The following is a 24,574-nucleotide window of genomic DNA, read 5'->3' as shown; positions in this document are numbered from 1 at the left end:
GTCTGGAAAGTGAGGAGCGTCTCTGCCCGGCCACCCATCGTCTGAGATGTGGGGAGCGCCTCTGCCCCGCCGCCCTGTCTGGGATGTGAGGAGCGCCTCTGCCTGGCCGCGACCCCATCCGGGAGGTGAGGAGCGTCTCTGCCCGGCCGCCCCGTCTGAGAAGTGAGGAGACCCTCCGCCCGGCAGCCACCCCGTCCGGGATGTGAGGGGCGCCTCTGCCCGGCCGCCCCTACTGGGAAGTGAGGAGCCCCTCTGCCCGGCCACCACCCCGTCTGGGAGGTGTACCCAACAGCTCATTGAGAACGGGCCATGATGACAATGGCGGCTTTGTGGAATAGAAAGCGGGGAAAGGTGGGGAAAAGATTGAGAAATCGGATGGTTGCCGTGTCTGTGTGGAAAGAAGTAGACATGGGAGACTTTTCATTTTGTTCTGTACTAAGAAAAATTCTTATCCTGTTGATCTGTGACCTTACCCCCAACCCCGTGCTCTCTGAAACATGTGCTGTGTCCACTCAGGGTTAAATGGATTAAGGGCGGTGCAAGATGTGCTTTGTTAAACAGATGCTTGAAGGCAGCATGCTCCTTAAGAGTCATCACCACTCCCTAATCTCAAGTACCCAGGGACACAAACGCTGCGGAAGGCCGCAGGGTCCTCTGCCTAGGAAAACCAGAGACCTTTGTTCACTTGTTTATCTGCTGACCTTCCCTCCACTATTGTCCTATGACCCTGCCAAATCCCCCTCTGCGAGAAACACCCAAGAATGATCAATAAAAATAAATAAATAAATAAACAAAAATAAGAACTACTCTTGGCCCATAGGCCATAGCTCGCCATCCCCTGCCCTAAGGCAGAGAAGACACACAGCGGCGGCCCACAGCAGGTTGTGCACACGGACCTTGGTTTACACACGGCTGCCATGTGACAATGAGGAGTTTCTGTCAGCTGTCCCCACCCCCCACCCCCCCACTGCTGCCTGCCACACCATCCACTTCAACGGTGGCTTCTGCCTGGCTCCTACAGGGATCTTGGCTATGACCCCCCCCCCTCTCAGACCAGCACTCCCTGAGGCGGCACTTGAGTGTGAGTAGTAGGGACACACCCAGTGCTGCCCCCTCTCTGTGTCACACCTGCCTTAATTCCTGGTCTGCATGTTAAGTTTTAGAAACTCCTACAATTAATATTCCTGGCTCTGGAGTTTGCCTAAAGAAAAACATTTTCAGAACTGCATTAGCAGAGCTTACTCGCTATTGCTCAGGGTACACATAATAGGACAAAACCAACTCCTAACCTCCCACACCTACAGACAGCCCTGCAGTGGAGAACATCTCATCCTTCTGTTTGTGTCGCTGAAATCAGAGGAGGGCAGGATGCTCTAAAGGGAAAGGTAGGAATATGTACAAAACCTCTTGGTTCACTTGCCTGGCGGGAGATGTGGGTACAAGGCAGCTTCCTTCAGCCCTGTGGGTCCCTCCTGGGAGGGGTCCAGAGAGCTTGGCCCTTCGGATTCTGGCATCTGTAGGGACTGGAGTTCACCTGTAGACGGGTCCACTTCTTTTGAAGACAGATGGGTCCAGTCATCATCTCCTCCTGAACAGTTATCCGACTCCATCTGTTCCTGGAACAAAACTCACCATGAGCACACAGGAGACACGCGCAACAGGCCAAGCCTGACCATGGCCCTGGCTCCTGGCAGACAGTCGGGGAGCACGCATGCACACGTGCAGTTAAGGCTGCAGGGGTCTAGGGGGAACAGTGGCCACTCACAAAGACCAAGTAACTACAAAGTTCTAGCAGGTTCCCAGCGTGACTTTAATGGCACAGACATCACTGCAGCAGCAGCAGCTCCCTCGGGTTTGTAAGTGGGGCTGCAGAGGTGCTGAGGATGAGGCGGAGGTGCAGGCCACAGATCACTAGGCTGGCCGTGGTCCCAGGTGGCGGGAGGGGCACAGGCTTGCCTCAGGGCGCCCCTCGGACTCCAAGGCGATCTTCCTCATCTGCTCCGCCAGAGACTGCGTGGCGCCCTCAACATTCCCACCCGGCTTGCTGGGGTCAGAGCAGCAGCTGCTTGGCTGTGAGCTGCTCTTCTCCTCTGTGCTGGAACTCTCTGGAGAGACGGGGGTCAGGCGGCTTCTTTTCCCTCCGTGCTCCACATCGATATCAACTTCAATGCCTAGAGGCGGAGGAGGAAAGAGCAAGCCGTGAAGTTCCCCCAAGGATGCACCTGCAAGCAGGAGCTTGGCCTGTGGAGACTACAGACTCACGAAGATCTCAACGTTCAGTCCCCACAAGCAGCTAAGTGTCTGGATGGTGGCACTCAGCGTGTGGATGCAGGTGCTAGGTTCTACCCAGCTCGACCCCGCAATCACACAGCCAGTATGGGACCAGACGATACAAACCCATGAGTCAGAGGCTTCTCCCCATATCCCAGCTACAAATCTCTGTGGCTTCTGGAAACATTCTTGGTGGGCCCATGATACTGGACCTTTCTCTTTCTCCAATTCAGTAAAACATTAACCTCAGCTAGCATCTAAAGTCAGCTTCTGAGCCAGAAAGTCGAAAGAGACCTTTTTCCTAACCATGCAGGACACGGGCCACACGGCAGGTGGGGCCAGGCCCTAAGTACAGGGAGAGCCAATACCACATGTGGCAGGCGCTTCCAGCCACAGTGATGGAAGGCCATGTGCCTCCTGACACCTGCACACAGAGGCTTTGTGCGACGACACACACGCACACCTCAACGCCGGAGCTCTGCTCTGGGAGGTGGATGGGCCGTGCAGGCGCTGCGTAGGGCCCAACGCTGGCCCCACAGGGAACCTGCACACCTCCAGGCTCACGTGACTCACCAGGGACAGAGGGGAGAATCACCTGCACTATTTTTGAAATTAAATGTGTCAAAAGTCTCCACACCCACAGCTTAGAGTCACCAGTTGCCAAAGGCTGTGGTGCACACTCCCTGCCCCCATCCCACTCCCCAAACTCTCCCTGTGCCCTTTCAGCTCACGCTGCTCTTGCCTGCTGCTGGAGTTCACATCTGCGCACTTCCTACTCTGGACCAGTACCTGCCTCTCCTTCCACTACCCTTTCCAAGACGCAATTTTTTGTTAAAAGAACATTCAGTAGGCCGAGCGCAGTGGCTCACGCCTGTAATCCCAGCACTTTGGGAGGCCGAGGCGGGCGGATCACGAGATCAGGAGATCGAGACTACCCTGGCTAATATGGTGAAACCCCGTCTCTACTAAAAATACAAAAAATCAGCTGGGCGTGGTGGCAATCGCCTGTAGTCTCAGTTACTCGGGAGGCCGAGGCAGAAGAATCGCTTGAACCTGGGAGGCGGAGGTTGCAGTGAGCCAAGTTGGCGCCACTGCACTCCAGCCTGGTGACAGAGCAAGACTCCATCTCAAAAAAAAAAAAGAACATTCAATGTTTCAGCTAGGACCTCTATCTAAATGTTCTTTGCTGGGTCAAGTAGCAGACTATTTCTTTGTATCGCTTTTTGTTTTCCTACCACTGATAATGGCTTCTCTTTTCCTTTGTTTTGTAGACAGAGTCTCGCTCTGTTGCCCAGGCTGGAGCGCAGTGCCGCAATCTCTCGGCTCACTGCAGCCTCTGCCCACCAGGTTCAAGTGATTCTCCTGCCTCAGCCTCCCGAGTAGCTGGGACTATAGGCACGTGCCACCACGCCCAGCTAATTTTTATATTTTTAGTAGAGACGGGGTTTCACCATGTTGGCCAGGCTGGTCTTGAACTCCTGACCTCAGGTGATCTGCCTGCCTTGGCCTCCCAAAGTGCTTGGATTACAGGCATGAGCCACTGCACCCAGCCTGCCTTCTCTTTGCATTTGCTAACTTTCCCTATGTTCTCCCACAGCATCTCCATAGTTTTCTACAAGGGTGAAGTGGATCAGAGACCCCACTGGTTCTGGTGTTTTCCATAGAGAGTGCCGCTTGCTGTGCAGCCTCCTGTTCCAGCCAGGACTGGCAGCTCTCTGGGCAGAGGCTGCGCTGTGATGCTGTGACCCCCTTTACGTTCACCCTCTGTCCTGTTAGGTCCCCCGTTTCCTAATACCTCTGTGCTTCATTTTGGGTTTCTCTCTTCATGTGGTTCAAACCAAGGTTAAAATAATTAAGACTGTATACCAGAAAGTAACTTTGTTCTGCCCTGATACTTGATCGTTTTAGCTGGGTATAGAATTCTAGGCTGGACCAGGCACAGTGACTCATGCATGTAATCCTAACACTTTGGGAGAACAACATGAGAAATCTCTTGAGCCCAGGAGTTCAAAATCGGCCTGGGCAGCATGGCAAGACCCCATCTCTACAAAAAAATTTTAAAATAGCTGGGCACGGGGCTGGGCACAGTGGCTCATGCCTGTAATCCCAGCACTTTGGGAGACGAAGGCAGGTAGATCATGAGGTCAGGAGTTCAAGACCAGCCTGGCCAAGATGGTGAAACCCCATCTCTACTAAAAATATAAAAATTAGCCAGGCATGGTGGCGGGTGCCTGTAATCCCAGCTACTCGGGAGGCTGAGGCAGAAAATTGCTTGAACCCAGGAGGTGGAAACTGCAGTGAGCTGAGATCACGCCGCTGCACTCCAGCCTGGGCGACAGCGAGACTCTGACTCGGGGGTGGGGAAAGAAAAAGAAAAAAAAAAATATCTAGGCACAGTGGCACATGCCTGTAGTCCCAGCTACTGGGGAGGCTGAAGCAGAAGGATCACTTGAGCCCACGAGATGAAGACAACTGTACCACTGCTCTCCAGCCCAGATGACAGTGAGACCCGGTTTCAAAAACAAAAGAATTCTAGGCCGAAAAGCCTTTTTAACTGATTTCTGGAGTCATCAGTTGTTCCATTGTCTCCTAGCTGTTCATGTTTGTTTGCTCTTTGTATTCCCAAGTATTTACAATAACCTAGAGTTTTAGAAGCCCCTCTTTCTTTATCCTCAGGGTTCTGACACTTGACAATGATAAGCTTTGCTGTGGGGTCTTTCTCAGTCATTGTCAGGGCCGCTTTCAATCTAGAAGATAATGGCCTCATTGCCAAGAAACTATCTTGCATTTTTGTTTTTTGTTTTGTTTTGTTTTGTTTTGTTTGAGACAAGGTCTGTTTCTGTCTCCCAGGATGGAGTGCAGTGGTACAATCCAGGCTCGTTGCACCCTCTGCCTTCCAGGCTCAAGCCATCCCCAACCTCAGCCTCCCACGTAGCTGGGGCCATAAGTACACAACTCCATGCCTGGCTAATTTTCATAGTGTTTGTAGACACGGGAAGTGGGGGATGGTGTCTCCCTATGTTGCCAAGGCTGGTCTCAAACTCGTGAGCTCAAGTCATCTGCCTGCCTTGGTCTCCCAAAGTGTTGGGATTACAGGCATGAGCCACCATGCCTGGTGCCAAGAAACTATCTTGCATTCTATGTTCATTTCCTCCTTTCAGTTTTCTATTCTTTCTGGAATTCCTACTCATCCTATATTGGGCTTCTAGACTTGTTCCTACATTAGGAGGAGAGGAAAGATAAAAAAACTATCTCTATTTTGCTTTTGGAATATCTCCTTGAGACAATAGTAGAATCTAAGCCTTCTTTTGAAGTTTTTTTTCTATTTTTTAATTTTAAGAACTTTCTTATTCTGTTCCCTTTGTTATCCTTTTTCTAGTATCCTGTTCCTTTTTCATGCAGACAATGCTCTTTTGTATCTCACTGAGGACATTAACATTCTCTTCCCTTTAAGACCTTTTCTCCCATGTGTGGGGGCTTTCCTCAGATGGCTGGTGACCCAGGGGTCTGATCCCACTGAAGCACTAAGGTTGACAGGAAGCCTTCTGTGGGGCCAGCGCCATCACTAACTTTCCCTCTGCAGGGTGCCTGGGGGTCTGGCAGGCAGGAGCTGTAGGACACTTCTCTGGGGGCATTCAACCTCCCTCAGCAGGGACTCCCCACCTCCTGCCTGGCCAGGGAACTGACTGCTGGGCCCATTGCTCATTCGGGATGCCCAGTTTCAGGCTGGTGCCTCACCCTGGCCTGTCTCTAGTATCCCATGCTGAAGCTTCCCTGGGTCAGGTGCTCCTGGAATTAAACATGAGGTCTCCTTCAATTGTTGGCAAGAGCCATCATCTGGCCAAGTGGGCCCTGAAGTCTCTAGCTGACACTCCCTAGAGGTTTTCAACCCTCCCCCCTTGTTCCTGTCCCCCGATCACTCCCACCTCTTGCCTTTCCTGGTACCTGAACAGATGGTCTTCCTTCTCACCAGGATGCCCTGTTCTGGCACAGAGATTTCTGAAGCTTCCCTCAGCAGGTTGCCACCCTCCCTCCATGTCCATCTTCCAAAATCTGATCACATCTTTGTCTTTTCCTCTATTACTTTCTTTGTCTATGGTGTTTTCTTTTTTGTGTAAGCCCTTTCCTGTTATTTCAATAGAGTTTAAGGGGGGAGCAGAGGTAAAAGCAGGCTTAACTACAAGTACCTCCATCTGTAATATTTAAATTATTTTTCTCCTTTATTCTTCCCAACTTGTGATTATGAAAAGGTTGAAGCTGCCGGGTACAGTGGCTCACGCCTGTAATCCCAGCATTTTGGGAGGCCAAGGCGGGCAGATCACCTGAGGTCGGGAGTTCGAGACCAGCCTGACCAACACAGAGAAACCTCGTCTCTACTAAAAATACAAAATTAGCCAGGCGTGATGGTGCATGCCTGTAATCCCAGCTACTGGGAAAGGCTGAGGCAGGAGAATCGCTTGAACCCGGGAGGCAGAGGTTGTAGTGAGCCAAGATCACACCATTGCACTCCAGCCTGGACAACAAGAGCAAAAGTCTGTCTCAAAAAAAAAAAAAAAAAAAAAGATAAGAAAAAAAAAAGGTTGAAACAAACAGAAAAGTTGAAAAGTTGAAAGAATAGTACAATCAATACCCATATGCTTTGTAAATGGGTAATGAGACTCGCCTGTAAGCAGATCAGAGAAATTATAGAATTAGGATCTCTCCAACTTGGTGATGAAAGCGTGAGATTTTCAGGCCTTGTCGTAAGACTGGACAGGCTACTTTGTCTACGGAGTAGCCATTCTTGTATTCCTTTACTTTCTTAAGAAATGTGCTTTCACTTAAAAAAAAGACTAGACGATGCTCCGTGCCCTGCTGCCTCACAAAGCCTCTGCGTGTCGGTTTATCAAAGATCCCACGACCAGGAGGGGCCCTGTGGCTTCGGGGCCTGTAGCCTCCCAGCCAGGAGCAGCCTGGGTCTCAGTTGTGGCTCCCTCAGCAGGTTCTCAGCCCCCCAACCAAAAGGCCTTGGCACTTCACATGAAAGCTGCCGCTTACCCTACACACACTGCCACCGGGAGGCAGCTGTTGACTCGTTCGTTCCCCTTTGGGCCCTGCTCTGGGAACAGTCCCTTCTAGGCAGTTAACCTGTGAGTCATCCAGCTTATAGTTCCTCATAAAGAAAGAAACTAGCCCTAACTTCCACAACAGTCTAAGCCGCTCCTCCACTGGCTCTCCTCAGCTGAAACCACTCAGTCTATTTTACTGAAATATTCCTTGTTTGTAGAGCTTCAGGCTCCTCCCTAGTTCGGAGAAAGCAATTCTATCCACTTTAAGCCTTTAGCTTTTAGTGCTCAAAGACATCTGAGGGCCGGGTGCAGTGGCTCACGCCTGTAATCCCAGCACTTGGGGAGGCTGAGGCGGGTGGATCACGAGGTCAGGATATCGAGACCATCCTGGCCAACAAGGTGAAACCCCGTCTCTACTAAAAATACAAAAAACTAGCCGGGCGTGGTGGTGGGCGCCTGTGGTCCCAGCTACTCGGGAGGCTGAGACAGGAGAATGGCGTGAACCCAGGAGCCAAGATCGTGCCACTGCACTCCAGCCTGGGCAACAGAGCGAGACTCCGTCTCAGAAAAAAAAAGACATCTGAGCATCTGCAAGATTATTCCTGTCTGTGCCAAGTGGGGCGTCCAGTTCAGTTCCGAGATGCTGCACCAGCACAGGTGGGTCTTGAGACAGTGTGACCCCAAGCACCTGGGCAGCCTCCCAGACAAATCCCAGGCCCCACCAACACTCACTCACCAGGATCAAAAAAGGTAAGGTCTGGGGATCTGCACTGTTTTAAAAGTCTCTACCTGAACCTAGACTTGGTTTTGTGACTTCCCGGGATGTCTCCTTTGTTCTTTGAGTGAAGGACTCTTGTTCATATCTCCAAATTCACCGGCAATCTCTCAGACCTTTACTACGTCCAGAGTGAGTGGCAGGATTTAGGCACAGCCGATCTCTCAATCATGACCTCGGTGTTCCACTGTTTACCCTCCTTGGAAAGCATTAAGAATACTGATTCTTGGCCGGGCTCGGTGGCTCACACCTGTAATCCCAGCACTTTGGGAGGCCGAGGCAGGTGTCGAGATCAGCCTGGCCAACACAGTGAAACCCCGTCTCTACTAAAAATACAAAAAATAGCTAGGCGTTGTGGTGGGCACCTATAATCCCAGCTACTTGGGAGGCTGAGGCAGGAGAATCGCTTGAACCTGGAAGGCAGAGGTTGCAGTGAGCCGAGATCACACCACTGCACTCCAGCCTAGGCGACAAGGGTGAAAGTCTGTCTCAAAGAAAAAAAAAAAAAAACAGACTAGCGATTCTTCTTTCCTATTCTCTGACTTCACCTCTAAACTCTAGTACAGAAGCCATGCGTGTTTGGGCTGTTTAGTTCAGAAGCAATGCCAAGATGTCACTGCCGCCTCAAAGTGGAATGAGCAAGGCCAGGCGCAGTGGTTCACACCTGTAATCCCAGCACTTTGGGAGGCCAAGACGGGTGGATCACCTGAGGTCAGAAGTTCAAGACCAGCCTGGCCAACGTGGCGAAACCCCGTCTCTACTAAAAAAATACAAAACTTAGCTGGGCGTGGTGGCGGGTACCTGTAATCCCACTTACCCAGGAGGCTGAAGCAGGAGAATCACTTGAACCCAGGAGGGGGAGGTTGCAGTGAGCAGAGATGGCACCACTGCACTCCAGCCTCCGTGACAGAGCAAGACTCCATCTCAAAAAAAAAAAAAAATCGGAATGAGCAAAGTTGGAGCAGATGGCAGTCACGCCCTGTAGCCACAGGAGGCAGCAGGCATGGTTCGGACGCCCCTCCTAGCAGCATTCTTTCAGACACTGAACACAACCTTTGGACAGGCTGGGTGGACACAGCCTGCCACTGCAGTCACAAAAACAAGCTCACTCGTCTAGCGAGAGATGCAGGTGTCCCAGCGATCCATCTGCCATCACAGATCCACCGTCATCTTGAACTAGAAGTTGGCTTCATTCACTGATTCTCACTGCCGCATGCCTAACCCTGCAGCACCCACCCGAGACCCTTAGCCAGACGCAACAGGCACTTTCTAAAGCCCAGCAGGGAGGGGTCTCAGAGCCTGAGCTCATGCCTGGGGTCAGGTGGCACCTTCACCCACCCCACAGACCCACTGTGCAACCTGAGGCACCAGAACCGGGTGTCACCCAGAGCACCTGCCTCCACCTTCTCCCCGCTCTGAGGCAGGCCCAGCACTCAGAAGCACCAGAAAGGTTTGGGGGTTGTAAACTAAAAGAAGGAAAAGATAAATAGCATGTCAACTAACTACTACCCAGGTCCTCAAAAGTCCAAATCCCAAGGCCTGGCTTAGGGGAAATTGCAGACTATTGTTCATCCAAAGGAGGGCAGTCAGAGGTGACAGGCAAGACCTGCAACCACAGTCTGGTCACCCTCCCTCACTGGGATTATCCCAACCAAATGCCAGCTGATTCGACTTCACTCCATGTAGAAAGCTCGAGAATTTTGTCAGGGAATTCAACCTTGAGTTGCCCGTGGTCCAGCACTACTAAAGGTTGATTTGAGGCAACAAATCCTCACCAGTGTCAAGGGCATGTCAATTACCCATTCCTTTGCAGTATTCCAGGTGAAAGTTACATAAAGTGCAGGCTGAGTTAGGGAAGCACTGGGCAAGGAGGTGCACTCACCCAGAGGGCTAAGGGCAGCTGCCACACTCTCCCCAACGTTCTTCAGGAAATTCACACTCGGATCCTCCGATGGACCAGAAGCTTTGATTTTTACAAAGATAAGATAAAGATATCTTTAATGCCTTGGATACCTGTCACAGTCCTGTCACCTTCTTGCCAAGGTCCCTGTGTTCCCGGGTGACCTTTAACCCGGACATCTTGTCCAGTGACCCACTCAGCATCCCCCTCTCCTTCCTCCCACTCTGCACCCCCTGGCCCTGCACAGAGAGCATCTCCACTCTCCCGTGCCATCTCCCCCTCATCTGTGACCCTGGTGCTCAGCAACCCCACAGAGGCTCAGGCTCAGTACACTGTGAATATTGATCACCTCCTTGAGTAAATATGTTATTTACTCAAAGTCAAGCAAACATCCCCATCTTTGTCCCAAAGGGTGAGGTGATTCACAGGACACAGTAACATTAATAAAATCAGAATCCAAAAATCTAGACTACAAAGCTAACGGTAAGTCTTTCACTTATAACTATGTTTCAAAGGACTTCAGCAACTTTGGCTCTGATCTTCCTGACAACCATCACAAAAGAGAACAAAGTGCATCAAAGACCCCTGGGCTGGAAGGGCCTCCCTGCCTGCACCTCAGGGTACCTTGAGAGGGCAGCCTCCTGAGGTAGGAAGGGCTGTGCAGGTAAATTTGTGGCCTCAGGCACTTAGGCACCTCAGTTTCCCCATTTGGGAAATGGAGAGAATACACCCCACTTTGCAGGGTTCTTGTGTGATTGTAGGGCACCAGGAAGGTGGGGGGTATCCTGAATTCTTGCCTTGCACACACGCTTTGCACAAGGGCCCTGCACACAGGCTGCCTGACTACTGTCACCAATCAGAAGCAGGTTCCAACACAAGCCTCACCTGATTCTGCCGTGGGGCCAGGGCGGGCCTCCCCTGCACGAGGAGGACGTGGGCTCCAGTTTCCTGGTGGACCCATTTCCCATCCTGGCCACCCGAAGTGTCCGTGTTTCACCTTCCGGAGCCAGCGGCTGTGCGAGAAGCCCTGGGGGAGGAATTAGCAGAGCGGCAGGCAGTGAGCGGGTCAAGGTTCCTGCCACCCTGAGCCCACCCCAGGCCTGCACAGAGGGCCTGCTCACCTCAGACAGGTGCCCGAAGGGGCTGGGGAATGCGAGCTTGGTGTGCCCCCGGTGCAAGCCCTTTCCCTCGCAGACGCTACACAAGTCGTAGTCTGGGCAGACGCTGCACTTGTAGCGGGTTCCTACCACAGGCCCATTGCAGCCATCGCAGATCACATTGGGGTGCACCATGTTGCGGGGCGCCTCCTGAGCACACGGTGGGCGGTGGTCCCGCCGGCACTCTTTTTTCTCTACAGGAAGGGTAAAGAGAGCCGCTAGGGTGGGACCCCCTAAAGTCCTCCCCCTCTGTCGTCACTGTGGGGCTGTCACTGCCAGCAAGGCCCCCGGCCCTGCTCTCCAGCATGGAATCCACACAAAATTCAGCCACTTAGGTGAGGGCAGCAGAGCCACCAAGAACCTGCTAGGAGGTTCCCAGTCCCTGTGTCTGTTTGGCCCAGGCAGCAGAGCAGCAGCAAGGAGCCCTGTCTGCACAGCTTTGGCCTTGCCCTTCACCCAAGCGCCACGGCACCAGACCCCATCCCTAACCCAAGCACCACGGCACCAGACCCCATCCCTAGAGTGAACATGGACTCCTCTTTCTCAGGTCAGGCACAGCACTTAAAATGTCTTTTTTTTTTTTTTTTTTTTTTTTTTTTTTTTTTTGTCGCCTAGGCTGGAGTACAGTCATGTGATTTCGGCTCATGGCAACCTCCGCTCTCCAGGTTTAAGTGATTCTCGTCTCAGCCTCCTGAGTAGCTGGGACTAGAAGCATGTACCACCACACCCGGCTAATTTTTGTATTTTTAGTAGCGACAAGGTTTCACCATGTTGGCCAGGCTGTTCTTAAACTCCTGACCTCAGGTGACCTGCCCGCCTCGGCCTCCCAAAGTGCTGGAATTACAGGCGTGAGCCACACCTGGCCTATGTCTCTGTCTTAAACAGCCCTCAAATTGCTGACCCCTTCATTGGTGGAACATCGAGCCCTGTTTTTTACTCAGCAGGGAACTGAGTACAAGCTGAGCTGGCTTCAGGCAGCCCCCAGAGCAGCCCCTTACCTTTAATGTAGATTCGGAAGATGTCATCCTTCACGTAGGACATGGCCATTGTCAATTCCTCGTCACTGGAAAAGGCAACCAAGTCCCCGTCCTCATCTAGATTGTTTAAAAGACAGCACGTGAGCACCCAGGGGTTCTCAGCTGGACATAAGCTGCTGGAATGGGCTGAGGCAAGTATGAAAGGGACACTCACAGGGCTATAAACAAACACACCTACTTGAGCCACAGAGGGCAGGAGTGAGAGGCAAGACTACCCCCTTGCTCTGGCACCTCCTGGAAGGTGAGTGCTCCGACCTGGGCCCTGGACCACAGCCACATGCAGGGGGCGGAGGGCCTGTGCACAGGGGCAGCAGCTTTGGCTGCTGCACTTATTTAGCCTTGGGCCAGCTGCCTTTTCAGAAACGTGCCACCTCATTCCCCATCCGACCAGGCCCATGTCCGTCTTCAACTGTGGGAGATCCCTGCCTGTGACCTGCTCCTGAGGGGCCCAGCCCCACAAAGGCCTTAGACTTCTAGTGGCTTGGGAGTAAAGGAGAAGACAAGGGCATCTGCCTGCTTCCTTCCCTAACAAAGCTGAAAGACACGTATTTGTATGTAGTCTCCATTTGTGACAGATACATATGAGCTGAAATGGCTTTAAAGCACAGCTGTGCAGACCAAACCACGCCATCCACCGAGGGCACAGGTGAGGCACCCAAAGATGCAAACAACCCAAATGTCTGTCAACTAATGAACAGGTAAACAAAACATGGCCTGTCCACACAACAGAATATTATTCCTCCAAAAAAAACTAGTTCTGATATGTGCCACAACACTGAACACATTACACTAAGTGAAAGAAACCACTTGCAAGACTACATTGTCTGATTCTATTTACATGAAATGTCCAGGATTGCAAGATGAATAGATACAGAAAGGAGGTTGCTGGGGGCATGTGGATAAGAGGGTGATAAAAGGTATGTATGGCGTTTATAAGGTGATGAAAAGCTCTCACACTGAATATGGTCCACAAACCTATGAAAATAGTGAAAACCACTGACTTGTACACTAAATGGGTGAACCCTTATTTCAGTTACAGCTCAATAACATCACAATTTTTTTTTTTTTAAGAATAGGAGAGGGCCTGGTATGCTGGCAGCGCTCCAGAGGGAGGTCCTAGCACTGCACCCTCCCAGGGGCCGGCCTTGGCCACCTCCCGCCCTCCTGGCCACAACCACCTCCCTAACCCCACCCCCAGCAGCCACTGGTCACACCAGCGCAGCAGGAAACAGGGCTTCTGTGCCAACACCAACACTTCTGAAGAACGTTCTCGTCCACTTGCCAATGGGAAAACATCTGTACTCGACCTGGCTCGGAGCGTTCCGCCGGCGATCCGTGCCCTTCTCCCAGGCGCTGTCGCGGCGCTCGCGAGTCCCCCGCACCCCCGCGCTTGTTTACCCGCGTCACTCCCTCCCCTCGCCGGCGCTCGCCCGGCTCCTCCAGGGCATTATCTGAACCCACCACCTGGCGCAGCAAGGTGTCAGTGTAACCCGAGTGCCCGCCTGACCACCCAGTGCCCGCGGAGAGCCAGAGCGTTCGCCCCGGCGCGTCCTTGCCAAAATCCCCAACAGCGCGGGGGGTGGAGCGGGGCGTCTGACGCCCCCAGGCTCGAGCCCCCGGCCGGCAGGGCTCCACCGCCCCAGGGGGCCGACGCTGAGCAGCGGGTCCCGGCCTTGGTCACCACTCCAGTCACCAGGCCGGCTCCCATGGCCGAACTGGGGACCCATGCAGGCCACCGCCATCCAGGGAGCAGCCAGCGCAGACCCCCTCACGGCCCGCCAGGCGTCGCCGAGAAGGGAGGGGGCAGCCACCCCGCGGCAGGAGGCCGTGTCCGGCCTGCGTCACCGCCCCCGCCGCTCCCCGGCCCGCTCACCGCGGTAGTGCGCCTGGAAGCCGCCAGGCCGCAGCGCGGGGAACAGGGCGGCCACCCGGCTCAGCAGCCGCTCGCAGGGTCCCGGACCCGCCGCAGCCTCGGCTTCCGCCTCAGGCTCGGGGCTGCAGCAGAAGCTGAAGCGGCGAATCTCGCGCGCCGCGTCCTCCTTGCCCAGAAGGTAGGCCTTCACGGTGAGCGACGCCATAGCGAGCGGCGAGCTGGCGGAAAACGGGCCGTCCCGGTCGCAGCCGCCGCGCGGCTTTTGTAGCGAACGCGGAGGCCCCGCCCCGCCTCGAGAGGGGCGGAGTCTCTCGCGCCCTCCCCGCCCCCGCCACCGTCGTCGCGGCGCGAGAGCCGCCCTGCAGAGGCCCCTTCACTACTCTCCCCTTCCCCGCTACCCCTCGCTCCAGGTCTCCCGGCCCCCTCATTGCTGACCCCTCTCTTCATTGCCCCGGTGCACCAAGGACCCCAGGAAACCGGCCCTGGCACTCATACAGGCCTGGGCTCCAGCCTCTGCACCTGGGATCAGGGTACTGGCGGGGGTCCAGCCCCTCGCCCCTCCCAGGCTTGGGCCTGGCCATGACTCAGCAATATCCTCAGTTGGGGGTACCCAGTGCAGGGAGAGGGGGACACAGCCCCCATATCAGGAGGCTGCTAGGTCGCCCAGTGGGCACTGCTGGCCAGAACAAGCTGGCTCTCAGGTTGCTGTTCCGACCCTGCCATGGTCAGCCTGCCGCGGTGGCAGCCCTCTTACAGCGCATGGCATCCTCGGTGATGGGCAGCGCATAGCATACTCGGTGACGGACCCCGACTCTGGCCTGAGCACCAGAGAAGTTCCCAGTTTAGTAGGAGTGGAGTTGAGAGGTGCTGGAGGACCAGCTAAGGTCTCCTGAGTGTCAGTGGTCGCCAAGTGTTCACTGTGGTCCAAGTGACTCCTTATGGGCTCCTCAATTCAGCAGGTAATGCCCATGGCCCTGTGGGGGCTCAGGCCCGTTGGCCTTGTGGGCAGCCAAGGGGGTCAGCCAACAGCCTCCTCAGCTAGGAAGGAAGAAACACTGCTTTATGCCACCAGAGTAACCTGTCCGCCAGAACTGGGGCAAGGAGAGGGGCAGGACGAGTGGTCACCCTCTGGAGCCTCCCAGGCAAGGTCCTGTGAGTAGGAGGTCAGAACCTGCTGGGTCCAACTCATGCCATTTCAGCCCAGGGCTTGCAGGAGCTGGAGAAACCTCCCAGGGGAGGAAACCCAGAGGGAGGCAAGAGTGGCTGGATGGGGCCAGTCAGGTGCGAAGGTGATGTGTGGGTGTGCGCACAGCAGGGGCTGGTCCACAGGTGTGAATGATCCTTCCCGGAGGGCTCCGAAGTGGGCAAGGCTTCCACCCTGCCCAGAGCAGCCCTGTGGAGAGGGTTCAGGCCTCTCCCTGCATCCGGCGGTGGAGAGTGGAAAATGCCCCAGGGCCTGCTGGAGCCACTGCCTTGCAGACAGGGGCAGGGGACACAGAGGGGCGTGCTGGCAGAGGCTGTGGCCTACAGACAGGTGCTGGCCAAGCGTGACTCAGCAGCCCAGGCGCCTGAGAGCCACGTGGCCCCCGCCGAGGGCCGGCTTTCCTGCCCCAGCCCCCGGCTATGGCCCGGTCTGAGCAGGGTGAGGGACACAAGGAAGGCCTGTGGCTCTGGGAACATAGCTTTGAGGAAGCGCTCAAGGCGCCCCACTCACCCCCAAGAAGGAGCTCCTTTGCTTTCTCGCCATTTGGCCCGTTTGGGATCGCGGGAAGTTTCCGCGGGGGCTAGGGGCATGTGAAGAGACTGGGGGGGGGGCGGGGAGGGGAGAAGGAAGCACAGAAGAGGGAGTCTTTGGGAAGCTGGGGTGGACACCCGGCTCTGGCCCTTCCCCGCACGCCTTGCGGCCCCAGCGGCCGCCCTGCCCCCACGCGAGGCCGAGGCCTCCCGGAGGTAAACAAGGCGCGGCGGGAACCCCCTGGCAGGGCCCTCTCCTCCCGCCGCGGAGGTCAGGTGGTCTGGCCGGCAGTGAGTCAGCGTCCCATGACCGCTGTCGTAATAGGGGGATCCCCGGCCCCTGCTGCCACCCATCTCAGTGACCTCTTACCTGGAGGCTGGGCTGGGGAGTGGCTCCGGGGTCACCGTGAGTCCCCTGAGCAGGAAGAGCGTGCAGCGGCTGGAGCCAGACAGACACTCTCCCCCTTCTCGCCTCTGACTCCTTCCCCTTTCCCGATGCAGTCCCACCCCGCAGGCTCCCCGCGTCCACTGGCCCCTTCCCACCCTCCAGGGCCCGGCGTGCATGCCCAGGGAAGGCTCGGCACCTGAGCCGCGAGACCCACTATGGACCAGCCTCTCATTTCCTCATCTTTCAAATGGGGCTGAAGTGGAAGGATTTGGGCTGCCCTCCCAGGCGATGCCCCGTGGGTGTGCGAGTTGTTTAGCTGCTTTTGGGGCTGTAAGCTGGGGGGTCAGGGCAGGACAGAGACTGCAGGGGGGCTGAGGTGGAAGAGTGGGGAGGGCAGGAGAGGCCTGAGCCAAGCGCCCAGTGGTCCCAGGAGACCAGCCGGGGCAGCCACAGGGGTGGTCTGGTTCTGTCTGTTGCTGCCCAGCATGTTGTAACCACCTCCTCAGTTCCCCCTTCCCCCCTCCCAAATAATCCTATGCCTTGGCAGTGGTGTTCCCAGGTTCGCTTCTTTTCTTTGGGGCGTGGAGTCAAGTGTCCGCGTGGGTGCTGGGGCAGCCAGAGACAAGGCCACTGAGGGATTCAGGCCGCACTGCTCTGGGCCATCTTTAGGGAGATTGACAATCACAGGGGACACAGGGGATGAGTTCCTCTACAGAGGTCCTGGTCTGTGCGGGGGCCTCCAGGCCTTCTGCGCTGCAGCCACTCCCTTCCACTCACATGGGAGGGCCACAGCCCTCCCTTGCCATCTTCCTAATCATGCCAGCTCATTCTACCTGGTGACTTTTCCCTGGCTCTCCCTCTGGTCCAAAACCCTTTCCACTCCTGCCCTACATGGCAACTTCCCACCCTAAATGTCTCCTCCTCAGCGGGGCCTTCCTTGACCACTCCCTAGGAAAAATCCCCAGGCACTGGACATCACTTTTTTTTTTTTTTTTTTTTTTTTTTTTGAGACAGTCTCTCTCTGTCACCCAGGCTGAAGTGCAGTGGCACGATCTCAGCTCACTGCAACCTCTGCCTCCCAGGTTCAAGCAATTCTCCTGCTCCTGCCTCAGCCTCCCAAGTAGCTGGGACTACAGGTGCCTGCCACCAAGCCTTGCTAATTTTTGTATTTTTAGTAGAGATGGGTTTCACTATGTTGGCCAGGATGGTCTTGAACTCCTGACTTCAGGTGATCCGCCCACCTCGGCCTCCCAAAGTGCTGGGACTGCAGGCGTGAGCCACCCGCCCGGCCAGGCATCACCCCCTTTTAGCCCTTTCAGACAAGCCCAAAGCCCAGGCAAGAGGCACGGGGGCCATGGGAGGGGCACGCCCACAAGGGGTTTGCAAAGATCTTTCTAAAAGAAAAGGAGTTCAAGTCATGGACAGACATGGTTAGAGAATTCAGTGATGCCAAGTTGTCAGGCCTGAGAGCCCCAGGGACCCTCTCCTACTGGAAGGCCAGAGCTGCAGAAAGAGGTCCCCTGGGCTGGGCGAATTTCTCCAAATAAATTCAAACATGGCCTGCCTCGGGACGGGGGCGAGACCCTGGGCCCTCAGGGGCACTGAGGGGTCGTCCATGCCGGGGGACATGGCCACTTGGGGGCGGCCCTCGTCAACCGCGGAGTGGGGAAAAGGGGGGAGGGATGGAGGACGAACGCCCGGCGGTGTCTAAAGGCACGACGCGGAGCAGGAACCACAGCCCTGGTCCCCAGAAAGCGCGCGCGGCCCGGGGCAGAACCTGCCGAAGTTCCAGCTCGGGGCGCAAGGGATGTGGGGGTCACTGGAAGACGGGGCGCGGGCCGCCCGTGGGGAGGAGACTGGACCCGAACCCGGCCCACCCCACCCGAGCGGCGACGCCAGCGCTGACCCCAGGCGTGTCCCGGCCCCCGGCGCGGCTCCGGCCCAACCGTGCACGCCCGCGGAAGGCCTCGCACCCGCGTCAGAAGTGGCCTGCCCGGGGCCACCGGCCCGCAAGTCCCCGGTGTTCTCGAGGTCCCTGCCCCGTCCCGCGCGGCTGTAGCCGGCGGGAGGGGCTGAGAGGCGGGTCGCGCTGGGACCTAAGGCGCCGCCCCCTCGCCAGCCTCTCCCTCCCTCCGTCACCGGGTGGCCGGAGACCCGGGGGCACTGCTGGGGTACCCCAAAGCATAGGGCCAGCCTGAGTGCGCAAGGTCCTGAAAAGACGGGGGGGCGGCGACAAGGAGTAGGGAGGGGGGCTGGAGGAAGACGGCAAAGTGACCCCGGAAGGGTCCAGGCGCCCCAAGCCCATCGAAGACGGGAGGCTCTCAGTGGCGCCTGGGGGGACTGTGGGAAAAGCAGCTCAAGAAGGGGAATCTGGAGCGAGGTGGGGGAGAGGTCGGCATGGCCTTCTCTAGGAGCGCCAGCGCCAGACAGAGCGGTGACAGGCCGCACCGGGAGTACCCCGTCTATACTGAACGGGTCAGGAGTGTGGGATCCCGTGGAGGGGCTGCCCTTGCAGCAGGAGCGATGGCCCTCTCGCTCCCCTCCACCTGCTGCCATCGAAAACCTTCTGGAAGAGGCCAGGCGCGGTGGCTCACACCTGTAGTCCCAGCACTGGGAGGCCGAGGTGGGCGGATCACGAGGTCAGGAGTTCGAGACCAGCCTGGCCAACAGAGTGAAACCCCATCTGTACTAAAAATTAAAAAAATTAGTTGGGCGTGGCGGCAGGTGCCTGTAGTCCCAGCTAGTCGGGAGGCTGAGGCAAGAGAATTGCTTGAGCCTCGGAGGCGGAGGTTGCAGTGAGCTGACATGGCGCCACTGCACTCCAATCTTGGTGCCTCAACAAAACAAAACAAAACAAAGAAAACCTTCTGGAAGAATTATCCTCCTTTGAGGATCTAACCCTTCTTGCTCCCAATGCTTCCCAGCAGGGCCCGCACCCCAGGACGGGTACTTACCGCAGTCCCCCACCTCCAGCTCTGCACACTCGCAGCCCAGTGCCCGCTCTTCCCCCTCAGCCTCCCGACGAGACTCAGCTCTTCGACCTCCCTGCGAGTCCCTGTGCACCCACTTTGTTCTGTGCCTGTCCCTGCCCTGACTATGTGGGCTCAGGTAGTTTTGTGGGGTGTGTGGATGTTGCGTGGGAGTGTATGTGTGCCCCGTGTGTCCCATGTGTTATAACCCTGATGCTCTGGAGCAGAAGGCGTGGGGTCATCTGTGGATAAAGGCTGGTATTGAAGCAGGGTCCCCCACCTGTGTTAGGCCACCACATACTCTTGCGTAAAAGTAGGGTGAGGTAAACCCCATGGCCAAAGCTTGGCCAACCAGAGCACTGTAGCACCCTGGTCAGGGATGGACATGTGACCCACGCTGGCGGACGAAATGCACACTGGGGTCATCTGGAAGCAGGAGCCTTGGGGAGGGGGGAATCCTGAGCAGATCAAAGCTTGATCTCAGTATCTGACCCCTGGATCCAGGCTGGCCTAATGCTGGGTTATAAAACGGCTTAAGCCAGTTGATTGTGGTTTTCGTCAATTGTATCCAAGAGTAGTGACCCATGACGTATACCCCATGCCTGCTCCAGGTTTTCTTTTCTTTTTTTTTTTCGAGACAGAGTCTTGCTCTGTTGCCCAGGCTGGGGTACAGTGGCTTGATCTCTGCTCACTGCAACCTCCACCTCTCGGATTCAAGCAATTCTTGTGCCTCAGCCTCCCAAGTAGCTGGGATTACAGGCGCCCACCACCATATCTGGCTAATTTTTGTATTTTTAGTAGAGACGGGGTTTCACCATGTTGGCCAGGCTGGTCTTGAACTCTTGGCCTCAAGTGATCCACCCACCTCAGCCTCCCAAAGTACTGGGATTACAGGCGTGAGCCACCACACCCGACCTGCTCTAGGGTTCCTGATGGCAGTGATGGTCACAATACAGGCCAGAAACAGTCACAATACAAGCCAGAAACCTGGGAGTCAGCTATGACCATATGCTCCCCCTCAAGCCACCAGCAGTTCCTGTTGATTGTACTTTCTGGCAATAGCAACAGTAATAATACACACGTAGCACATCTTTTATGCTAGGAAACATTCTAAATATTTTAATTTTTAGAGACAAGGTCTCACTTTGGTCCCCAGTCTGGAGTGCCGTGGTATGATCATGGATCACGGCAACCATGATCTTCTTGGGCTCAAGCGATCCTCCCGCCTCGGCCTCCTAAAGTGCTGGGATTAGAGGCGTGAGCCACCTCACCCAGCTTGAATATTTTTCTGCATTTAACTCACCTGTTCCCTTGAGGTGAGACCATGTGATTAATTCTGGCCAAGGACCTGAGCCAGAAGAGCCATATATCACCTATACGCCAAGCATTTATTTATTTGCCAGTGCTAAAGCTTCTAGAGCTCTCTTTCTCTTTGCCAAGAAAGCCTTTGATTTCCACATGGTTATGCCTGTAGCCAGGGCAGGAACTACAATGAGCAGAGACCCCAGGGGACCCTTGAAGGGTATACAGCTTTGAGTATACTTTTATTAGATCAGAGAAATTTGGGGTTGTTAGAGCAGCATAATCCAGCCTATCCTGACTGATTATCCCCACAGGCATAGAAGGGACTAAGTTGCTGTTAACCGACGGAAGCAGAATTGTGAACCCAGAAGGGCCATTCCCTAGGACATCTTGACCTCAGTGATGTACATTCTCCAAAGACTGTCCTGAATCTATCTACTTCTCCTAACTCCATTCCCTACCCCTCTGACCCTCCATTCCAGACTTTCTCCTGGATGGTTATGTCAGGGAGGAAAAGCTTTTCCTCTGCCCTCTTAGATTCAGCATCTGGGGCCTGCAAATTAAACTGACAAAAGACAAATTAGCAAGAGAAACGGAGTTGTATAGCTTTCTGTTTTTTGTTTGAGATGGAGTCAGTATTGCACAGGCTGGTCAGGAACTCTTATGGTCAGAGGATCCTCCCACCTCTGCCTCTCAAGTACCTGGGACTACAGGCTCACGCCACCACCCCGATAGACATTTTTATTCGTGTACTAGGAGGTTAGAATTGAGAGCTCGTAAACCAACAAAAGGTTGGGGGAAAGGGCACTTGGGGAAAACAAAGGACTTCTAGGAAAGATAATATGCTAGTTTTGTGACAGTGTCTGTTTGCCTGTGGTGCCATGTCTGGGGATGAGTCCCTTGTGCTCCCAGGGAGGGGGCTTATCTCTGTTTCCTCTTATTCTCTCCAGCCCCTTTCCATGCCTGCCCAAAAGGTTATATTTTATTTTATTTTGAGAAAAGGTCTCACTCTGTGGCCCAGGCTGAAGTGCAGTGGCAATTAGAGCTCACTGTAACCCAGGAGTCAAGTGATCCTCCCGCCTCACCCCCTGAGCAGCTAGGACTACAGGTACATGCCAACATGCCTGGCTTTTATTATTGTTTTTTTTTTAATTTCTCACAGAGAGGAGGGTCTCGCTGTGTTAACCACGCTGGTCTGAAGCTCCTGGCTTTGTGTGGCAAATGCTCATTTTAAAATACAAATACAACCTCAGCCTCCACTCCTCTTCTTGTTTTAGACTTTATGCACAGCTTCAAAGGTCAAAACCCAAATTCAATTCCCAACACTGTGTACTAGGTCCTGCAAGCTGTGCTCTGCCCTGCCCAGGTCTGCCCCAGGGCCAGCTTTCCTGGTACTCATGAACCACCTCCCGCTACCCAGGCGGCCCCTACAGGCACGGTTAATTTTCCCATTACAAGTTGTCAGAGTCCCATGGACTCTGATAAGGTGGCTGTGGATGGGACTATAGTAAGACAGTGAGGAGGTCAATGTCAGTGCACATGTGTTTGTATCATTAGTGACATGTGTGTTTGGTACATGGTGAATATACAGAACATTTGCTATGAATGAAACACCCAGCTGCCAGGTGAGGTGAGGCTTTAGGGCAGGGCTTCCAAACTTTTACTGTGCCAGGGACACCCTTGGCATCTGCAGAAGATGAAGGACCCCTGGTTAGAAACATGCTTTTTTCTTTTTCTTTTCTTTTTTTTTTGGGGGGGGGGGGACCATGTTTTGAATGCATTACATTACCAAAAAAATTAATATTGAAATGCAAAAGTCAAAATATAAAAACACGGCCATTTGCTCTTTTCCTAGACTAGCTATGGCTGGGCCTGGTCAAGCTTTGGGAGGCTGAGGCTGTGGAGTTCCAACCCTCAACCTTGGAAGAGCTGTCTTGGAGGCAGGCAGGTCCAGAGCCCCACGTGCCATGGGACCTAAACCGAGAGCAAGCCTGGGCCTGGGCACTGGAGAACTTCCCTGTGCTGAGCCGCCACTCCTGCCAATGCCATCAGCTCTACGGGAGCACTGCTGCGAGCTGGCTGCTGCACTGCACCTCTACTGGGCACGGAGCCCTTCCCGGATATGAGAGGGGCCAAAAATGGCCTCGACACTTCCATGTCCAGAAGTCAATGGCTGAAACCATAGACGGGCTCCAGTCACCTCAAGAAGACGCAGATGCTACCGATGGTGAGGTCCAAAGCGGCCTGAAGCAGCCTGGAGATGCCAGCGCCTGCGGAGGTGGAAGTACACACGCCCAGGGCGCCTTCTGCAGTCCAGGCGGCCTCCGGAAGCTGCTGAAAACCTAGGATTCCATCAGGAAGGAACCGCTGAAAACCTAGGATTCCATCAGGAAGGAACCCGAAAAGGAGAGGAACCCCAGCCTTTCTGCAGGCCTGCAGTACGACCCGCTTCAACTGCTGCCCTGGAAGGAGCCCGAGGCACCCAGTGGGGGCCCTCATGCCGTGCCTGCGGACATTTGCACTGGAACTGTGCCCTGCATGCATAACAGCCTTGAGGTCTGTGCGGTGGAGATCATTCCTTAATCTGTTCTTTCTCTCCTGAGCGTCCTAAACATTTTTCATTTAGAAAAACTTTCTTCATGGAGGGGTGGGCGCGGTGGCTCACGCCTGTAATCCCAGCACTTTGGGAGGCCGAGGCGGGCGGATCATGAAGTCAGGAGATCGAGACCATCCTGGCTAACACGGTGAAACCCCGTCTCTACTAAAAATACAAAAAATCAGCCGGGCGTGGTGGCGGGCGCCTGTAGTCCCAGCTACTCAGGAGGCTGAGGCAGGAGAATGGTGTGAACCCGGGAGGTGGAGCTTGCAGTGAGCCGAGATGGCGCCACTGCACTCCAGCCTGGGCGACAGAGAACCGCCGTTCGCCCATCCGTCCAGAAGTAAGGAAAAGGCCACGGAGACCAAGGGGGTGGGGTCACGGTTTCCCCTCCCCTCCCCCTCAGAAGTCCGAAGATAAATAGGCTTAGAAAGAGAGGAAAAAAATTTCTTGGTTTGCATCTCACTCACCCTTTCTCAAGCCCCATGTTGCACGCCAAACTGTTGTAGGACTTTCTCCTTAGTTCAGCTAAAAGCCAGGTTCTTGTGCAGCGGCCATGAGAGATTAATCTCGCAGACACTTTGAAGAGTGAGAAAAATGGAATTTATTGGGCAAGAAGGAAAAAAAGGGAAACAGGGACTCTCAGCAAAGCGAGAGAGAGTCCCGCTAGCTGGTTTCTCGCCTCCCAGATAGAATCCCAAGTTCCACCCCGAACATGAGACCAAGCTCCTCCCCCCTGCATAGCTCCTCCCCCTGCATAGCTCCTCCCCCTGCATGCTCCTCCCCCTGCATAGCTCCTCCCCCTGCATAGCTCCTCCCCCTGCAAAGCTCCTCCCCCCTGCAGAGCTTCTGTGGCTCTACCCAGTTCTTCCAGTGCTTAGGCAGGTGTGGGAGTTTCTCCTGGACCTCTTTTTTTTTTTGAGACGGAGTCTCGCTCTGTCGCCCAGGCTGGAGTGCAGTGGTGCGATCTCGGCTCACTGAAAGCTCCGCCTCACAGGTTGAAGCTATTCTCCTGCCTCAGCCTCCCGAGTAGCTGGGACTACAGGTGCCCGCCACCACTCCCGGCTAATTTTTAGTAGAGACGGGGTTTCACCGTGTTAGCTAAGATGGTCTCGGTCTCCTGACCTCGTGATCCGCCCGTCTCGGCCTCCCAAAGCGGGACCCCTTTAGACTTGGCTGTCTCACTTGGATTACAGGCGTAGGCCACAGTGCCCAACTGAGTCACTTTTTTTTTTTCCTTAAAAAAATTGTTGGCCCGCAGACACATGAAAAAATGCTCAGCATCACTGGCCATCAGAGAAATGCAAATCAAAACCACATTGAGATAGCATCTCACACCAGTTAGAATGCCAATCATTAAAAACCCAGGAAACAACAGGTGCTGGAGAGGATGTGGAGAAATAGGAATGCTTTTACACTGTTGGTGGGACTGTAAACTAGTTCAACCATTGTGGAAGTCAGTGTAGCGATTCCTCAGGGATCTAGAACTAGAAATGCCATTTGACCCAGCAATCCCATTACTGG

General features: G+C 54.8%; 1 protein-coding gene across 3 annotated transcripts in view, besides 16 other annotated features; it reads right to left on the bottom strand.

Annotated features, from left to right (window-relative positions):
- Positions 1 to 24,574, bottom strand: part of SQSTM1 (sequestosome 1) — a 31,686-nt gene that overhangs the window by 2,876 nt on the left and 4,236 nt on the right. For 2 of the 3 annotated variants that reach the window (NM_001142298.2, NM_001142299.2), the window contains exons 2-8: positions 23,521 to 23,629; positions 12,150 to 12,245; positions 11,116 to 11,345; positions 10,880 to 11,021; positions 9,977 to 10,057; positions 1,957 to 2,171; positions 1,421 to 1,616 (exon numbers count right to left, since the gene is read on the bottom strand). In NM_001142298.2, coding sequence (NP_001135770.1) covers positions 1,421 to 1,616; positions 1,957 to 2,171; positions 9,977 to 10,057; positions 10,880 to 11,021; positions 11,116 to 11,345; positions 12,150 to 12,198 — 913 coding nt within the window. In that variant the 5' untranslated portion in view covers positions 12,199 to 12,245; positions 23,521 to 23,629. Of the gene's footprint in view, positions 1 to 1,420; positions 1,617 to 1,956; positions 2,172 to 9,976; positions 10,058 to 10,879; positions 11,022 to 11,115; positions 11,346 to 12,149; positions 12,246 to 14,061; positions 14,299 to 23,520; positions 23,630 to 24,574 lie in introns of those variants that run through there. The other variant, NM_003900.5, reaches the window with a different exon arrangement.
- Positions 6,728 to 7,532: an enhancer, noted in NCBI's record as "H3K4me1 hESC enhancer chr5:179254671-179255475 (GRCh37/hg19 assembly coordinates)". NCBI's record gives its function as "activates a minimal SCP1, AML or CMV promoter by ChIP-STARR-seq in naive H9 embryonic stem cells {active_cell/tissue: H9 hESC(naive)}" and the evidence as "EXISTENCE:reporter gene assay evidence [ECO:0000049][PMID:30033119]".
- Positions 10,902 to 11,439: an enhancer, noted in NCBI's record as "H3K4me1 hESC enhancer chr5:179250764-179251301 (GRCh37/hg19 assembly coordinates)". NCBI's record gives its function as "activates a minimal SCP1, AML or CMV promoter by ChIP-STARR-seq in naive H9 embryonic stem cells {active_cell/tissue: H9 hESC(naive)}" and the evidence as "EXISTENCE:reporter gene assay evidence [ECO:0000049][PMID:30033119]".
- Positions 11,440 to 11,978: an enhancer, noted in NCBI's record as "H3K4me1 hESC enhancer chr5:179250225-179250763 (GRCh37/hg19 assembly coordinates)". NCBI's record gives its function as "activates a minimal SCP1, AML or CMV promoter by ChIP-STARR-seq in naive H9 embryonic stem cells {active_cell/tissue: H9 hESC(naive)}" and the evidence as "EXISTENCE:reporter gene assay evidence [ECO:0000049][PMID:30033119]".
- Positions 13,684 to 13,863: a silencer, noted in NCBI's record as "silent region_16750". NCBI's record gives its function as "represses an Ori minimal core promoter by ATAC-STARR-seq in GM12878 lymphoblastoid cells {active_cell/tissue: GM12878}" and the evidence as "EXISTENCE:reporter gene assay evidence [ECO:0000049][PMID:35858748]".
- Positions 13,874 to 14,133: a silencer, noted in NCBI's record as "silent region_16749". NCBI's record gives its function as "represses an Ori minimal core promoter by ATAC-STARR-seq in GM12878 lymphoblastoid cells {active_cell/tissue: GM12878}" and the evidence as "EXISTENCE:reporter gene assay evidence [ECO:0000049][PMID:35858748]".
- Positions 14,087 to 14,796: an enhancer, noted in NCBI's record as "H3K27ac-H3K4me1 hESC enhancer chr5:179247407-179248116 (GRCh37/hg19 assembly coordinates)". NCBI's record gives its function as "activates a minimal SCP1, AML or CMV promoter by ChIP-STARR-seq in naive H9 embryonic stem cells {active_cell/tissue: H9 hESC(naive)}" and the evidence as "EXISTENCE:reporter gene assay evidence [ECO:0000049][PMID:30033119]".
- Positions 14,244 to 14,493: a silencer, noted in NCBI's record as "silent region_16748". NCBI's record gives its function as "represses an Ori minimal core promoter by ATAC-STARR-seq in GM12878 lymphoblastoid cells {active_cell/tissue: GM12878}" and the evidence as "EXISTENCE:reporter gene assay evidence [ECO:0000049][PMID:35858748]".
- Positions 15,317 to 16,516: an enhancer, noted in NCBI's record as "P300/CBP strongly-dependent group 1 enhancer chr5:179245687-179246886 (GRCh37/hg19 assembly coordinates)". NCBI's record gives its function as "activates an origin of replication core promoter dependent on BRD2, BRD4, P300/CBP, MED14 and CDK7 cofactors, with strong dependence on P300/CBP, by STARR-seq in HCT116 cells {active_cell/tissue: HCT116}" and the evidence as "EXISTENCE:reporter gene assay evidence [ECO:0000049][PMID:35650434]".
- Positions 15,317 to 16,928: a biological region, named in NCBI's record as "P300/CBP strongly-dependent group 1 enhancer GRCh37_chr5:179245687-179246886".
- Positions 15,404 to 15,563: an enhancer, noted in NCBI's record as "active region_23763". NCBI's record gives its function as "activates an Ori minimal core promoter by ATAC-STARR-seq in GM12878 lymphoblastoid cells {active_cell/tissue: GM12878}" and the evidence as "EXISTENCE:reporter gene assay evidence [ECO:0000049][PMID:35858748]".
- Positions 15,794 to 15,973: a silencer, noted in NCBI's record as "silent region_16747". NCBI's record gives its function as "represses an Ori minimal core promoter by ATAC-STARR-seq in GM12878 lymphoblastoid cells {active_cell/tissue: GM12878}" and the evidence as "EXISTENCE:reporter gene assay evidence [ECO:0000049][PMID:35858748]".
- Positions 15,964 to 16,263: an enhancer, noted in NCBI's record as "active region_23762". NCBI's record gives its function as "activates an Ori minimal core promoter by ATAC-STARR-seq in GM12878 lymphoblastoid cells {active_cell/tissue: GM12878}" and the evidence as "EXISTENCE:reporter gene assay evidence [ECO:0000049][PMID:35858748]".
- Positions 16,219 to 16,928: an enhancer, noted in NCBI's record as "H3K27ac-H3K4me1 hESC enhancer chr5:179245275-179245984 (GRCh37/hg19 assembly coordinates)". NCBI's record gives its function as "activates a minimal SCP1, AML or CMV promoter by ChIP-STARR-seq in primed H9 embryonic stem cells {active_cell/tissue: H9 hESC(primed)}" and the evidence as "EXISTENCE:reporter gene assay evidence [ECO:0000049][PMID:30033119]".
- Positions 17,892 to 17,961: a silencer, noted in NCBI's record as "silent region_16746". NCBI's record gives its function as "represses an Ori minimal core promoter by ATAC-STARR-seq in GM12878 lymphoblastoid cells {active_cell/tissue: GM12878}" and the evidence as "EXISTENCE:reporter gene assay evidence [ECO:0000049][PMID:35858748]".
- Positions 18,072 to 18,521: a silencer, noted in NCBI's record as "silent region_16745". NCBI's record gives its function as "represses an Ori minimal core promoter by ATAC-STARR-seq in GM12878 lymphoblastoid cells {active_cell/tissue: GM12878}" and the evidence as "EXISTENCE:reporter gene assay evidence [ECO:0000049][PMID:35858748]".
- Positions 23,000 to 23,778: an enhancer, noted in NCBI's record as "H3K27ac-H3K4me1 hESC enhancer chr5:179238425-179239203 (GRCh37/hg19 assembly coordinates)". NCBI's record gives its function as "activates a minimal SCP1, AML or CMV promoter by ChIP-STARR-seq in naive H9 embryonic stem cells {active_cell/tissue: H9 hESC(naive)}" and the evidence as "EXISTENCE:reporter gene assay evidence [ECO:0000049][PMID:30033119]".

This window comes from Homo sapiens, chromosome 5, assembly GCF_000001405.40.
Source record: "Homo sapiens chromosome 5, GRCh38.p14 Primary Assembly".
In the NCBI taxonomy this organism is placed as follows: Eukaryota; Metazoa; Chordata; class Mammalia; order Primates; family Hominidae; genus Homo; species Homo sapiens.
This window is presented reverse-complemented; position numbering and strand designations above follow the sequence as displayed.